This window comes from Homo sapiens, chromosome 5, assembly GCF_000001405.40.
Source record: "Homo sapiens chromosome 5, GRCh38.p14 Primary Assembly".
NCBI classification, from domain to species: domain Eukaryota; kingdom Metazoa; phylum Chordata; class Mammalia; order Primates; family Hominidae; genus Homo; species Homo sapiens.
In genome coordinates this window covers 43,367,770-43,384,408 of record NC_000005.10, presented here as the reverse complement: position 1 = coordinate 43,384,408, position 16,639 = coordinate 43,367,770, and the positions used below count along the sequence as shown (strand labels likewise).

At 42.1% G+C, this 16,639-nt stretch overlaps 1 protein-coding gene across 11 annotated transcripts in view; it reads left to right on the top strand.

The window, feature by feature from the left end:
- Positions 1-16,639, top strand: part of CCL28 (C-C motif chemokine ligand 28) — a 55,417-nt gene that overhangs the window by 27,983 nt on the left and 10,795 nt on the right. For 2 of the 11 annotated variants that reach the window (XR_925633.3, XR_007058610.1), the window contains exons 3-4: positions 2,357-2,608; positions 7,088-7,764. Coding sequence is in view for 4 of the 11 variants with exons in the window: in NM_001301874.2 (NP_001288803.1) it covers positions 2,357-2,549 (193 nt within the window). In the remaining 7 variants the exon portion in view is untranslated. Of the gene's footprint in view, positions 1-2,356; positions 5,217-5,280; positions 5,898-6,924; positions 7,765-16,639 lie in introns of those variants that run through there. The other 9 variants (XR_007058612.1, NM_001301874.2, XR_007058611.1 and 6 more) reach the window with 6 other exon arrangements.

Genomic DNA, 16,639 nt, shown 5'->3' with positions numbered 1-16,639 from the left:
ATGGGATCTCAGATTTGGGAGCTGTATTCTGGTAGCTGATTTTTTTCCCCAGTTGAATTACATTGAGAGGTTGCCTCACCAGCAAGTCTTTGAAAAAGCCCACATGCTAGTTGTTGCCTGTTTTCCTATGGTCCTCCACCTTTCTGAATCCTCTGTCTATATCTCTTCCATCTGGTTCTCTCCTTCAGCCCCGGTGCCAATGCCCCTCCCTGAATCCCATCTCTCTTATTTTTATAATGGACTTGAATCGTAGGTCTTTCCTGTGTAACTTATGGGCTTATCTGCATGTCACAGAAATCTTCTCTTTTTTTTCTTTTTGAGACGGAGTTTCCCTCTTGTTGTCCAGGCTGGAGTGCAGTGACATGATCTCAGCTCACTACAACCTCCACCTACCTGGTTCAAACGATTCTCCTACCTCAGCCTTCCAAGTAGCTGGGATTACAGGTGCGTGCCACCATGCCCAGCTAATTTTTGTATTTTTAGTAGTAGAGACAGGGGTTCACCACGTTGGCCAGGCTGGTCTCGATCACCCGACCTCAGGTGATCTTCCTGCCTCGGCCTCCTAAAGTGTTGGGATTATAGGCGTGAGCTACCGTGCCCAGCCTGCATGTCACTAAAATCTTTATCTGCTCAGTTTCTTTCTGACATCACAGGGAGAGGCAAGAGTTTTAGTCCTCTGGAAAGGGTAGGAGCTTCAGTGCCAGATTTTTGTTTGTTTGTTTGTTTGTTTGTTTTTGTTTCCTACGCAACAGTGCTACAGCCACGTTTTCTCCTATGATAGCAAACCAACTGACCATAGTGAGAATTAGGCTGTTTGTTTTTTTTTAAGACTCTCTATCTAATACACATAGGGAATATATTATTCTCTTATTAAGATGCTCCACTTCTTTCAAATTAATATTCCCCATATGCTGGCTTTATTATGTTAAAGCTCATTTGTAACTTTCCCCCGATTCTCCCCACTTTTCTCCCATTTCAGTAGTCCCTACATTAGCTGAAAAAGATTCAACTTGCGTCATCTAGAAAAATAGCAGCTTATTCTCTACCCCACCTCTGTTTTTTCCCTGAATAACAGGGTCAGAAGTTTCAATTTATCTGGATACGGAAATACTATATATGTAGAGCCAGCAGGATTTGTGACATTTGGTAAGAGCTGATGACCCCTCATGAGGAAATTAGAAGTCACCAATATCTTTTTCAACAAAAAAAATTATTCTAGTTACCAGAAACTGTGCATGCTGTAGCATTCTCCCAGCCCACTGTGAAAACTTCATATAGAAAAATGAAAATGAGCCAGGTGCAGTGGCTCATGTCTGTAATTCCAGCACTTCGGGGGCTGAGGCGAGTGGATCACCTGAGTTCAGTAGTTCAAGACCAGCCTGGCCAACATGGTAAAACCCCATCTCTACTAATAATACAAAAATTAGCCAGGTGTGGTGGTGCACACCTGTAATCCCAGCTACTCGGGAGGCTGAGGCAGAAGAATCACTTGAACCCGGGAGACGGAAGTTGCAGTGAGCCGAGATCATGCCATTGCACTCCAGCCTGGGTGACAAGAGCAAAACTCCATCTCACCAAAAACAAAAAAAAAGAAAAGAAAAATGAAAATGAAAGCACATTCTGAACTGTGGCATAGATCTATATCATATTAAAATGTTAACAAATGCCTAGAATATCTTAGTTTTGTTTTGTTAATTTAAGTTTTAAATTAAGTTTAAGTTTTAAATTAGTTTCAGTTTTGAATAAGGCGTTTTCAAGACACTTCTAGACTATTCCTCCTTCAAGGAGCATAACTCCAGTAGGAAAGATGAGACAAGTACTCAGATAAAAGACAGAATAAAGTAAGTGCCAGAAAAGAGATAACTCTCACCGTGGAGAATCAGAGGGGAAAAAAGACGGCATCTAGCTGAGAGAATCTACAAATCCTTACGGATCAGAAAAATCTCAAACAAACCTTAAGGATGTGTTTGAGATGGGCTGTGAGGATGAATTGGTTTTGTTGGGTTCACTTGGTTTTTATTATTGTCTCTTTTCCTCCTTTTCTTCTTCCTCTTTTTTCTCCCTCCTTTTCTCCTTCTTCTCTTCCTCATCCAATTCCTTCTTCTCCTTCTCTTTCTTTTAATACTCTCTGATGATATCTGAGGACCCACAGGCAGCAGTGTTTGTAAAGTCAAAATTGAACCTTGTGGTGCTCAGCTTTAGAATTCACTTCATTTCTACACTTAATTCAGAAATTTAGTCTGAATTTAGTCTCTAGGAATACAGTGTCCCAAAGTGGGAGCTGCATGTAAGTCACTAAGTGATTATTTATATATGTTTTATATCAGTGACTTTCTTTTGCTTCCTTTTCTAACAGCCTTCATGTCAAGCGCAGAAGAATCTGTGTCAGCCCGCACAACCATACTGTTAAGCAGTGGATGAAAGTGCAAGCTGCCAAGAAAAATGGTAAAGGAAATGTTTGCCACAGGAAGAAACACCATGGCAAGAGGAACAGTAACAGGGCACATCAGGGGAAACACGAAACATACGGCCATAAAACTCCTTATTAGAGAGTCTACAGATAAATCTACAGAGACAATTCCTCAAGTGGACTTGGCCATGATTGGTTGTAAGTTTATCATCTGAATTCTCCTTATTGTAGACAACAGAACAAAACAAAATATTGGTTTTTAAAAAATGAACAATTGTGCGGTATGCAAATGTAGCCAATAATATACTCAACTGGAAAATGAAATGAAAAGATAATACTGGCTGGGTATGGTGGTTCACACCTTTTATCCCAGCACTTCGGGAGGCTGAGGCAGGAGGATCACTTGAGACCAGGAGTTTGAGACCAGCCTGGGCAACATAGCAAGACCTCATTTCTACAAACAAAAAAAAAATTGGCCCGGCATGGTAGTACTTGCCTATAATCCCAGCCACATGGGAGGCTGAGGTGGGAGGATCACTTGAGTCTGGGAGAGTTTGAGGTTGCAGTGAGCAGCCTGGGTGACAGAATGAGACCCTGTCTCTAAAAATAATAATAATAATGATAGTGTATATCTTCATATAATATTTTAAGAGGAGCATATAGATATAACTTCTCCCAACTTTTTAATTATAGTTTTCCAAACTTACAGAGAAGTTAAAAGAATGGTACAATGAACATCTATATATCTTTCACCACAATATTAATCATTGTTAATATTGTGTCACATTTGCTTTCTCTCTCCTCTCTTTGTATGTGTTTCTATATAAAATATTATAACTTTTAAAATATATCTTGTTTTGCTAAACCATTTGAAAATAAGTTGCAAAAATCATGACACTTCACCCCTAGTTTCTTTTTGGTGTTATAACTTGACATACCCTAAAATAAAGACATTTTTCTACATAATCACCTTATCAGTTTTATACCTAAAAAATTAATAATTTCATCTAATATATTCCATATTCAAATTTTCCCAACTATTTAGAGAGCATTTTATGTAGTTTTTTTTTCACTCCAGTAATCAATCAAGGTTGACATACATATTGCAAATAATTGTTATTTTTCTTTAATATCTTTCAATCTAAGAAAGTTCCTCTGTCTTTTTTTTTTAATTTTTAAAATTATTTTGTTGAGGGAGGGTCTTGCTGTGTCTTCCAGGCTGGAGTGCAGTGGCACAATTTTGATTTTGGCTCACTGAAGCCTCAACTTCTAGGGCTCAAGCAATCCTCCCACCTCAGCCTCCCGAGTATCTGGGATCAAGGTGCATACCCACCACACCTGGCTAATTTTGTTTATTTTTTGTAGAGACAGGGTCTCACTATGTTGCCCAGGTTGATCTCAAACTCCTGGGCTCAAGCGATCCTCCCACCTTAGCCTCCCAAAGTACTGGGATTATAGGTGTGAGCCACAGTGCCTGGCCTAATTATTTTCTTGTGATCAAATTCAGGTTTAATGTTTTTGGTTAAGAATTTCCTACGTGAATTCGTGTACTTATTTTGTCATTTAGAGTTCATAAATATTAGGGTTTATTTTCTAAATAGAATAGTTTAAACTAAATATAACTTCAAAACGTCTAGTTTGAGTAGCTACCGTTGTTTGGATTGAAATTTTCTGATACTGAAAAGAACAAAAAGCCTGCCTTTCTGCCCAGAACCTTTTGCCTCCCCCAGTCAGTTCTTGGAGCAGCACTAGTTAGGGGCCCAGAGTTCGGCCTTCTGTGTGGTGATTTTACGCTCTGCCTAAACAAGGAGCCTACATCTTTTAGCTCCTATTCCACCCTTCTCACACGTTTTTGTTGTTGTTTGGTTGTTTTTTTTTGAGACAGAGTCTCACTCTGTTGCCCAGGCTGGAGTGCAGTGGCACAATCTCGGCTCATTGCAACCTCCGCCTCCCGCGTTCAAGTGATTCTCTTGCCTCAGCCTCCCAAGTAACTGATATTACAGGCGCCCAGCCACCACACCCCGCTGATTTTTGTATTTTTAGTAGAGACGGGGTTTTCCCACGTTGGCCGGGCTGGTCTCAAACTCTTGACCTCAAGTGAACCACCCGCCTGTGCCTCCCAAAGTGCTGGAATTACCAGCGTGAGCCACCATGCCGGGCTCACACGTTTGAGTTGATACCATTGTGCCATTCCTCTTTTGGCCTCTTTTTTGTCCATAGAGGCTTCAAGATAGATAGGTAAGAGCCCAGTAGTGTTCATAAGAAGCCAATAGAGAGCAGGAGCCACTTTATCAGGTGGCAGGTGTCCTGGGCCTCCCTGCTGGCTAGTCCCAAGCGGTGGTGTTGCCAGGATGTCTTGGAGGTGATAATGGGACACACAGAGGCACTGAGTCTCCATAGGTTAAAATGCCACCAAAACTGGCCTTTGCCTAATATCCCTCATTGACTATTTAGCATTTAATTTATTTATTTTCCTGACATTTCTGCAAGCTTTGTATTTATATTTCCACTTTATAGATGAGGAAATTTGAGGCTCTTAGAGGTAAAATGACTTGCCCAGGTCACACAGGAAGTGGCAGAGACAAGCTTTTTAAATAAGAAAAAATTAATAAAATATAATATGAGAGTAACTTAAAATATTAATAAACCACAATTTTAAATTAATTAACCGTGATAACCAACATTAATAAAAGTTAAGATACCAAAACACTGGTGTCTAATTCTTTCAACTAACAACTTGAATTATTTTCCATTTTAAATTAATTAACCGTGATAACCAACATTAATAAAAGTTAAGATACCAAAACACTGGTGTCTAATTCTTTCAACTAACAACTTGAATTATTTTCCATTTTATTTCTTCTTACTAGATCGATCTGCAATTCTACACAATTGTTGGGCAGCTATGAATGACAGTAGGTTTACATGATATATTTTAAAAACTGATTTTTCTGCCACGCAAATAATTGAACTTTGTCTGAAGATAGTGTGCCTGGGAAACCAGATTTTTTTTATTTTTATTTTTATTTTTATTTTTTTGAGATGGAGTCTTGCTCTGTCACCAGGCTGGAGTGCAGTGGTGCAATCTCGGCTCACTGCAATCTCTGCCTCCTGGGTTCAAGCAATTCCCTTGCCTCAGCCTCCCAAGTAGCTGGGACTACAGGTGCGAACCACCACATCTGGCTATTTTTTTGTATTTTAGTAGAGACAGGGTTTCACCATGTTGGCCAGGATGGTCTCAATCTCCTGACCTTGTGATCCACCCACCTCGGCCTCCCAAAGTACTGGGATAACAGGCGTGAGCCACCGCGCCCGGCCAAAACCAGATTCTTAAAGAAATTACATTTTACAGGTTATTGCATGTGCTTAGTAAAACATTATTGTATCACTGTTACTGTACTATGTACTATTATTGTACTAAGAGTAAATACTGTTACTATATCATGAGTTACTGTATTATGAGTAAATCACCTCGTTAATCCTTTAAGTTTTCTTTTTGAAAAGTTACATTTTTATTGAAGTAATATAGGTGTGCGATTTAAAAAATCAAAAGTACAGCAGAATTTATAATAAAAATAACATCCTCCCACCCTATCCTCCCTACTCCTAGACCTATCCTTGAGGCAACATCTTGTAATCCTTTTTTTTGAGACAGGGTCTTGCTCTGTTGCCCAGGCTGGAGTGCAGTGGAGCAATCTGGGCTTATTGCAATCTTGACCTCTTGAGCTCAAGCAATCCTTTTACCTCAGCCTCCCTAGTAACTGGGACTACAGGCATGTGCCACCATGTCTGGCTATTTTTAAAAAATTATTATTTTCTGTAGAGACAGGGTCTCACTATGTTGCCCAGGCTGGTCTTGAACTCCTGGGCTTAAGCGATCCTCCCATCTCACCCTCCCAAAGTGCTAGGATTACAGGCATGAGCCACTGCACCTAGCTTTCTTAATCCTTTAAAAAGTTTAAGTTCTGGCCGGGCGCGGTGGCTCACGCCTGTAATCCCAGCACTTTGGGAGGCCGAGGCGGGCGGATCACGAGGTCAGGAGATCGAGACCATCCCGGCTAAAACGGTGAAACCCCGTCTCTACTAAAAATACAAAAAATTAGCCGGGCGTAGTGGCGGGCGCCTGTAGTCCCAGCTACTTGGGAGGCTGAGGCAGGAGAATGGCGTGAACCCGGGAGGCGGAGCTTGCAGTGAGCCGAGATTGCGCCACTGCACTCCAGCCTGGGCGACAGAGCGAGACTCCGTCTCAAAAAAAAAAAAAAAAAAAAAAAAAAAAAAAAAGTTTAAGTTCTAGTGGTTACTTCTGTGATTTCAAATGAAACGCTTAAAGTATCATTTCTTTGCTTATCTCTTCCCTTCTTTCTCCTCATCCCAGTGCTTGATGTTTCATTACAATTATTTTTCTTTATCTCTGTAACTTTCAATAATATACTTGTCTTCCATTTATTAGTCTTTTTAAAATAACTTTTTCTTTTTTCTTTCTTTCTTTCTTTTTTTTTTTTTTTTTGATACAGAGTCTCACTCTATCACACAGGCTGGAGGGCAGTGGCAGGATCTCAGTTCACCCCAACCTTTGCCTCACGGGTTCAAGGGATTCTCGTGCCTCAGCCTTCCAAGTAGCTGGGATTACAGGTGTGCGCCAGTACGCCTGGCTAGTTTTAGTATTTTTTGTTACAGACGGGGTTTCACCATGTTGGCTGGGCTGGTCTCAAACTTCTGATCTCAAGTGATCCATCTGCCTTGGCCTCCCAAAGTGCTGGGATTACAGGCATGAGCCACTGCACCTGGCCTACGTATTAGGCTTTATGTAAGATGTACATAGTACTCCATACTCCTTTCCTTTTCCTCCTATTGAAACTGTTCCTATAAACTTTATAAAATTAATCAGAGAAGAAGAGAGGGTGAGAAACATAAATAATCCAAGCTTGCACCACATTCAGCATTAATCACTAGGTCACTTTGCTTGCTGACCCCTTCCTCATAGTTGTTTGGCTATTGCTTCAGAATTATGTGGAGTCTGTTACAAGATTATAGTTCCCCTTAACTGCTCTATAGATAACAGCTTGAACATTATGAAATGCTAAGTTTTCCCTTCGAGACATTCTTTCAGGTCCTGCATACTGATGAAACTACTGATGTCAGCTGGTCTGAAGGACCCTACCAGAAGCTAAATCATCAAAGAATGCAATTTCCATATCCTAATGATTCAATCTCCCTTACCCTGACCAATCAGTGGCCCAAATTTTCCAGCCCCTTGCCTCCCAGAACCCCAGCCCAGAACTCTTCAGAGATTTAAGAATCTCCTCCTACCTCCTGACTCAGCACCATGTAATCATTAAACTCTCTGCTGCAAACTCTGCTGTCTCAATGTATCAGTCTGTTACTGCACAGTGGGTGTATGAACCTGTTGGTCTTATGACACTATCCTCCTATGTTATGTCACATCAGCTATACTTTTACATTTACATATCTGATGTTGATAATTCTAACTCTGCACTATAGTAATAATTGTCTTTCCTGTTTTGCTTAGGGCAGGGTTTCACAATCCTGGCACTACTGACATCTTGGGCTGATAATTCTTTGTTGTGGGGGGCTCTCCCATGTACTCTAGGTGGGTTAGTAGTATCTCTGGCCTCTACCCACCAGATGACATCCAAAAATGTCTGAAGATATTGCCAAATGTCCCCTGGGGAGGGGTATAAAAATCTCCTCTAACCCCAGTTGAAAACAACTGGTCTAGAATCTAAGGTAGATTTCAAAATTGAAAACCAATGTAGTCGGAAAAATTCTGAGATGACCCCTAAATTTTCTGCCCTGGTATAGACATACCTCCCAAGCACCAATCTAGGTGCTGCAGTGAAGTTATTTTGCAAATGTAATTAAGGTCACAAATCAGTTGACCTTAAGATAGGGAAATTATCCATGTGATAGTGACTTAATCATAGGAGCCCTTTCAATTTTTTGAGACAGAGTTTCGCTCTTGTTGCCCAGGCTGGAGTGCAATGGCACAATCTCAGCTCACCACAACCTCTGCTTCCCAGGCTCAAGCGATTCTCCTGCCTCAGCCTCCCGAGTAGTTGGCATTACAGGCACACACCACCACACCCGGCTAATTTTTTATATTTTTGGTAGAGACGGGGTCCGCCCGCCTCAGCCTCCCGAGTAGTTGGCATTACAGGCACACACCACCACACCCGGCTAATTTTTTATATTTTTGATAGAGACGGGGTCCGCCCGCCTCAGCCTCCCAAAGTGCTGGGATTACAGGCATGAGCCACCATCCCCGGCCCCAAGTTCTTTATATAGCCTACTATTCTTGCCTTTATCAGTCACTTGAAATCTTGAGATGACCACTTGTGCATATGAAGCTCTTTATAGTTCTAAGATTTTTAAGTAACAGCATTCACGTCAACTGCATTGCTGGGGAGGGCTGTGCCCTTCAAAATGAGTTCAAAATGTCTGCCTCCAGATCCCTAAAAGTGGGCAATGACTTTTCTATCAGTTGGCAATGGCTTTTTTTTTTTTTTTTTTTTTTTTTTTAGCTTTCTGTCTGTTTCTGATGGGTGCTTCTGTTTCTGGCTACCCTGGATTGGTAGATGAGTTTTTACTCCTTTTTTTTTTTTTTTTTTTTTTTTTTGAGACAGAGTCTCGCTCTGTCCCCCAGGCTGGAGTGCAGTGGCATTTTTACTCCTTTTAATAGGAAGACTATTGGTTGGGCGCAGTGGCTCACGCCTGTAATCCCAGCACTTTGGGAGACCGTGGTGGGTGGATCACGAGGTCAGGAGTTTGAGACCAGCCTGGACAACATGGTGAAACACCTTCTGTACTAAAAATACAAAAAATTAGCTGAGCATGGTGGCAGGCACCTGTAATCCCAGCTACTCGGGAGGCTGAGGCAGGAGAATTGCTTGAACCTGGGAGGTGGAGGTTGCAGTGAGCTGAGACCGCAGTATTGCACTCCAGCCTGGGCAATAGAGTGAAAGTCCATCTCAAAAAAAAGAAAAGAAAAAGATCTTTCATTTTGTAGAAAATGGATTTTCTGGGTAATGCCATTAAACTTCACTATTTCAATCTAAATTGGGATGGCTAGCAGACAATCTAAAATGCTTCACTCATTCTTTGAAGCTTAACTAGAGAATGAGAGGAGGACAAAGATGACCTAAATGTAGTATTAGTACGCATCCCTGTGAGATCTGAATTTTTTTTTTTTTTTTTTTTGAGACAGAGTCTCACTCTGTCGCCCAAGCTGGATTGCAGTGGCTCGATCTCGGCTCACTGCAACCTTCACCTCCTAGGTTCAAGCGATTCTCCTGCCTCAGCTTCCTGAGTAGCTGGGATTACAGGCGTGCACCATCACACTCAGCTAATTTTTGTATTTTTAGTAGAGATGGGGTTTCACCATGTTGGTCAGGCTGGTCTTGAACTTCTGACCTCGTGATCCGCCCGCCTTGGCCTCCCAAAGTGCTGGGATTACAGGCGTGAGCCACTGCACCCAGCCTTGAATTTTTATACTATCACAGAATAAATAGAACTATGGTATATGTTTCACAATTACATAGCTAATTCGATGTTCTTTTGACAATTCTAGCACACTGTTTTTACAATGATAAAATCATTGTTTCCCTCTGGTAAATGTGGGTGACTCCAAGCTCATTCCATCCTAATGCCATGCTTATGCTCTTCCTCACTATTCCTGACAGATAACTGATTAACTGGCATATTGCAGCCTCTATACTTGCCATTCTACCTCCATATAAACTTATCAAAACAGTACAGCATCTCCTTTCTTCATCCAGTGTTTAGCACATGGTAGGCACTCAGTAAATATTTATTGATAAATATATGTAGGCAAGTGACATCTTATTTGCTCAATTACAATGAAAACAAAACACCACAGAGCAGTCATGCACTCTTGAGATGACCAACTTCTACTGAAAAATGAGAAGGCTACTGAGGGTTAAATTCTGCCAAGACCTGGCCTAGGAAACTATGTTAAATTAAGCCAGTGTGACTGGGCTCCAGTGTTTCCAAGCTTTTCCTAATATCAGACTTTTCATGCCCTCAGCCTGTCTATAAGATAGACATATCTCTATTTCTGCTCATTTTTCTTCCAGGCCATAATTATATGCATCAGTGTGTTAAAAAACCTTCTTTGCACAGTAGGTAGGACAGGAGAAACGGCTTCTGGAAGACCAACTTTGCTAAACGCAGGCCACAGTGAAGACAAATGGCACAATCTGTGAGAAAAGTCAGTTTTGGAAAGAATGTGGGAACATAGTGGCCTTGGAGATTATAAAAGATGAAGAAAGGAGATGATGCCCTGTTGATTCTTTACTTGGAGAGTTACCCTGGACCAATCAGAAGGGCTAAAATTTAAAAGATAAAAATATCAAGTGTTAGTCCGGGTGTGGTGGCTCACACCTGTTATCTCAGCACTCTGGGAGGCCGAGGCAGGTGGATCATCTGAGGTTGGGAGTTCAAGACCAGCCTGACTAACATGGAGAAACCCCGTCTCTACTAAAAATACAAAATTAGCCGGGCGTGGTGGCACATGCCTGTAATCCCAGCTACTCGGGAGGCTGAGGCAGGAGAATCACTTGAACCAGGGAGGCGGAGGTTGCAGTGAGCCGAGATCACGCCACTGCACTCCAGCCTGGGCAAAAGAGTGAGACGTCATCTCACACACACACACACAAAAATCAAGCGTTAGTAAGGATGTGGAGCAACTGGAACTTTTATGTGTGTGAGAGGAGGTGCAAATTAATAAAATCATTTTGGAGAACTGTCTTCACTATCTAGTCATATACCTATGCTATGACCCAGAAATTCCACATGTGGGTATTAATAATATCTAGTTAAGTGAATATGTTCGCCAAAACACACGTATAAGAATGTTCAGGCTGGGCATGGTAGCTCACGCCTGTAATCTCAGCACTTTGGGAGGCCGAGGTGGGTGGATCACCTGAGGTCAGGAGTTTAAGACCAGCCTAGCCAACATGGCGAAACCCCATCTTTGCTAAAAATACAAAAATTAGCCGGGCGTGGTGGTGAGTGCAACTGTAATCCCAGGTTCTCGGGAGGCTGAGGCAGGAGAATCACTTGTACCTGGGAGGCAGAGTTTGCAGTGAGGAAAGATCATACCACTGCACTCCAGCCTGGGCAACAAAGCAAGACTCTGTCTCAAAAAATAAAATAAAGTCAGATAACAGCTCTAAAAAAAAAAAAAAAGAATGTTCATAGCAGCCCCCAAACTGGAAACTACCTAAGTGTCCATCAACAGTAGAATGGATAAATTCAAAATATTATATGCATATAGTGAATATAACATTTGGCTGGGCATGGTGGCTCGCCCTTGTAATCCTAGCATTTTGGGAGCCCAAGGTGGGTGAATCAGTTGAGGTCAGGAGTTTGAGACCAGCCTGACCAACATGGAGAAACCCCATCTCTACTAAAAATACAAAAATTAGCTGGGCATGGTGGCACACACCTGTAATCCCAACTAATCAGGAGGCTGAAGCAGAAGAATCCCTTGAACCTGGGAGGCGGAGGTTGCAGTGAGCTGAGATTGCCCCACTGCACTCCAGCCTGGGTGTCAAAGCAAGATTCTGTCTCAAGCAAACAAACAAACAAAACAAAAAGAATATAATTGTGTTAATGAGAAAGGATGTCTAAAGGACACGAGTCCTCTTCAACGACTCATGAAATAATACAGATGTATCTCACAAGCATAATGCTGATAGAACAAGACCAGATACAAATGAGCCAGTATTAGTTATTGCTACAGTTAGCTATGTTTGCCCCCCAAAACTCATATTGAAATTAGATCCCCAATATTGGAGGAGGAGCCCAATGGGAGGTGTTTGGGTCATTAGGGCAGATCCTTCATGAATGGCTTGGTGCCATCCTTGTGGTACTGAATAAGTTCCCATGCTGTTACTAATCTGGAAAGCAGGTTGTTAAAAAAAGAGCCTGGCACCTCCCCCACTCTCTTGCTTCCTCTCTTACCATGTGATCCACACTGGCTCCCCTTTGCCCTCCACCATTAGTGGAAGCAGCCTGAAATCCTCAAAAGCAGCAGATGCTTGTGCTCTTGTACAGCCTGCAAAATGGTGAGCCAACTAAACCTCTTTTCTTTATAAATTACTCAGCCTCAGCTATTCCTTTATAACATAAACAGACTGAGATAGTTATCCATTAATGTATAATAAGTTACCCCAAAACTTAGCGACTTAAAACAACACATATTTATTATCTCATAGTGTCTGTGGATAAGGAATTTGGGAGTGGCTCAGCTGGATGGTTTTGGCTCAGGCTCTCTCATGAAGTTGCAGTTAGAATGTCTGCAGGGGCAGCAGGCATCTGAAGGCTTGACTGGGGCTGAAGGATTCCCCTCTCAGATGGCTCACTCACATGTTGTTAGAAGGAGGCCTCATGTGGGTCTCTCCATGAGCTGTCTGAGTATTCTCACAACATAGCATCTGAATCCCTCAGAGAAAGTGATCCAAGAGACAGCAAAAGGAGAAAGCCTCAGAATTTTTATGACCTAGCATTAGAAGTGACTTATCCTGTCTCTGTAGGTTATACAGACCAAATCTGATACCATGTGGGTGGGGACTACACAATGGCATGAACACCAGAAGTCGAGGATCACTGGGGACAATTTTGGAGGCTGGAATCATCCATTCCACACGTTTCTATAAATATAAAGTACAAAAACCGGTGAAACTAAGCTATGCTGTTGGTTAAGATAATGGTTACTCTGGGGAGAAGGTAGTGACTAGAAGGAGGGAAGAGATGGGCATTTGGGGATGCTAGTAATGTTCTGTTGCTTGATATAGGTGTAGTTATACAACTAAATTAATCAGGCTGTAACTTATATGTTCCTCCATATATATTAAACTTTGACAACTTAAGCAGATTAAGAAAAAAGAAGAAGGAGAAAAGAAAGAGAGAAAGAAGCCAGGCATGGCGGCTCACTCCTGTAATCCCAGCACTTTGGGAGGCCAAAGGGGGTGGATCACTTGAGGTCAGGAGTTTGAGACCAGCCTGGCCAATGTGGTGAAACCCCATCTCTACTAAAAATACAAAAATTAGCTGGTCATGGTGGTGGGTGCCTGTAATCCCAGCTACTCAGAAGGCTGAGGCAAGGGAATAGCTTGAACCCAGGAGTCAGAGGTTGCAGTGAGCCGAGGTCACGCCACTGCACTCCACCATGCACAACAAAGCAAGACTCTGTCTCAAAAAAAAAAAAAAAGAGAGAGAAAGAGAGATAAAGGAAGAAAAAGAACTCTGGAATACATCCAGAGGACATGGGATTCATATTCTGTGAATGGAAAATCAGACCTTCTCAAGAAGGTGCTTAGCCCAGTGGCCCAGTGACCCAGTGACCCAGTGCAACATAACTCAGAAGGAGAAGGGAGATCCTGATCCATTTGAGTGATCTAGGACACAATACATTGGCAGCTGTCTTATTATTAACCCAGGTGCCATAAATTCCTGAGTATGTAAACAGGTAAAGATATTAGAAGAAGCAGGAGTAATAAAATTTAGATGTCTGCAATATTGCTCCATTCCTGGGTGTATCATGCCAACCACCAAGAGACAACAGATTGTCTGTGCATTGATATGCGTAGTCATGACCTCATAAGACTGTTGAGAGATTAAGCGATATGATGTGTGAGAAAGTAGGAGCATAGCATGGAGGAGGCACTGAACACATGTTTATGTATTCGTTAACTGGTATTTGAATTATATATTGCCGTCTAACTCACCATCTTAAAATTTAGTGCTTTAAAACAACAGTAATTTATTATTTCTCAAAATTTTCTGGGTTAGCTGGGGCTCAGTTGGACAGTTCTTATACTGGTCTCACTTGAAGTCTTTTATGTGGGTACAGTCAGATGGTTGGGACTGGAAAGTCCAAGATGGCTGCACTCCCATATCTAGCACTTTGTGGGGATGACAGGAAAGTTGAGCCCCACAGGGTGCTGGGATCACAGGATCTAGTCTTTCTCCATATCTCAGAGTCTTTTCCTCTCCATGTGGTCTCTTCCCATACTATCTCTAGTAGAGTAGCCAAACTTTTTTCATGGTGACTCAGGGTTCCCAAAAGTACAAACATGGAAGCTGCCAGGTCTTGTGCCACATTCAGTTAATTAAAACAAGTTGGCAGATTCCATTTGGGAAGGGACTGTATACCAGGAGGTAAGATTCATTGGAGGTCATCTTTGGAGTCTAGCTGCCACATGTGGACACTTAAAATATATATCAAGGCCAGGCACAGTGGTGGGCCTGTAATCCCAGCAGGAGGATGTTGGGAAGCCAAGGTGGGTGGATCACTTGAGGTCAGGAGTTCGAGACCAGCCTGGCCAACATGGTGAAACCCCGTCTACTGAAAATACAAAAATTAGCCAGGGTGTGGTGGCACACACCTGTAATCCCAGCTACTTGGGAGGCTGAGGTAGGAGAATCGCTTTAACCTGGGAGGCGGAGGTTGCAGTGAGCCAAGATCCCACCACTGCACTCCCACCTGGGCAGCAGAGAGAGAATCCATCTCAAAAACAGAAAAGAAAAGAAATAAAATTTAAAAAATAAAATAACATACATATCAGGAAACATCAATTTTGTTTATTTCAAGAATGTACTTTCTCAATTTGTTTCTACTTTTTGTCTCAATTTTTTAAGATCAGCTTTAGGTATACTAGAAATTAACCAACTAATGAGCCTGGTGGGGAATCTTCTAAAATGGTTCCCAATCATCCCTGCCTTCTAGTGTTCAGGCCCTTAAGCAATCCCCTTCCCTTGAGTGTGGGCTGAACCTAGTGATTTGCTTCTAACAAATAAAATACAGCAAAAGTGAGAGGATGTCAGTTTTTTAATGAATTATAAAAGATTGTGACTTTGTCTTACTGGTTCTCTCTCTCTCTCTCTCTCTCTCTCTCTCTCTCTCTCTCTCTCTCTCTTTCTCTCTTTCTCTCTCCCCCTGCCCCCCACCCCACCTCTCAAAGACACTCTCCTGTCTTCTTGGCTTACTTGCTGTATGAGTTTGCTAGGGTTGCCATAACAAAGTACCACAAACTAGGTGGCTTAACAACAGAAATTTATTGTCTCACGGTTTCAGAGTCTAGAAGTCTGAAGGTATCAACCGGGTTGGTTCCTTCTAAGGGCTGTGAAGGAGGGTTCTGTCCCACACCTCTCTCCTTGGCTTGTGGATGGCTGATGGCCAGCTTCTCCCAGTGTCCCTTCACATCATCTTCTTTCAACATGTGTCCATTTCTGTGTCCAAAATTCCCCTTTATATGAAGACCTCAGTCATACTGGATTAGGGCCCACCCTAATGACCTTATTTTAGCATAGCTAATTAAATCTGTAACAACTCTATTTCCAAATAAAGTCATACCCTGAGGTAGTAGGGGTTAGGACTTTAACAATTCAACCCATAACAGGGAAGATGAGTGCTATGGGAATGGGAAAGGAAATGTTGTTTTCTTTAAAGTACATGACTCAGAGGTTGCATATAGCACCTCCCCTCATATTCCATTGGCCAGCAGTTAGCCGCATGGCCACATGACCATCCAACCTCAAGAGAAAAAGGAAATATAGTTCTTAGCTGGTGGCCACCTGCCAGCCAAAACTGTTGTTGTTTTATTATTAGAGAAAGATGGGGAAAAAGGATATTGCGGGCAACTAGCAGCTTCAGATACATTATAGTTTGCAAAAATTTTGTGAAGGAGAGAACTACCTCCTCCAAACTGCAATAATAATTGCTCTTTTGTTGCAACTACCAGCCTACCATACCAGAAATATTATGATTAGTCCTCACAATAACCCTGAGAGTCATTTTTCCTCCCACGTATTACAAAAGGAAGAATCAAGGTTCAGAGAGATTAAGCAATTTGGTCAGAGCCAAACCCTTTAAGTGGTGGAGCCTGGAATCCAGCAGAGGATTCTGTCTGGTGTTAAAGCCTGACCATTTCACTGCACCCCATCACATACCCTAGCAAGCAGCACTCCAGCAGGCCTACCTTATTTGTATTGCTTAACTTCATGGCAGTTCTGGGTAGTGACTTGAAGATTTGTATGGGAAATATCAGAAATGCCCATTTCTAGACTTTATGGGCTAACAAAGTGAGAGACAATCAGAATTCCTATATAAAACATACATTGGTAGTTGCGGGCAAGATAGCCAAATAGGAACAGCTAGGGCCTGCAGCTCCCAGCAAGATCAAT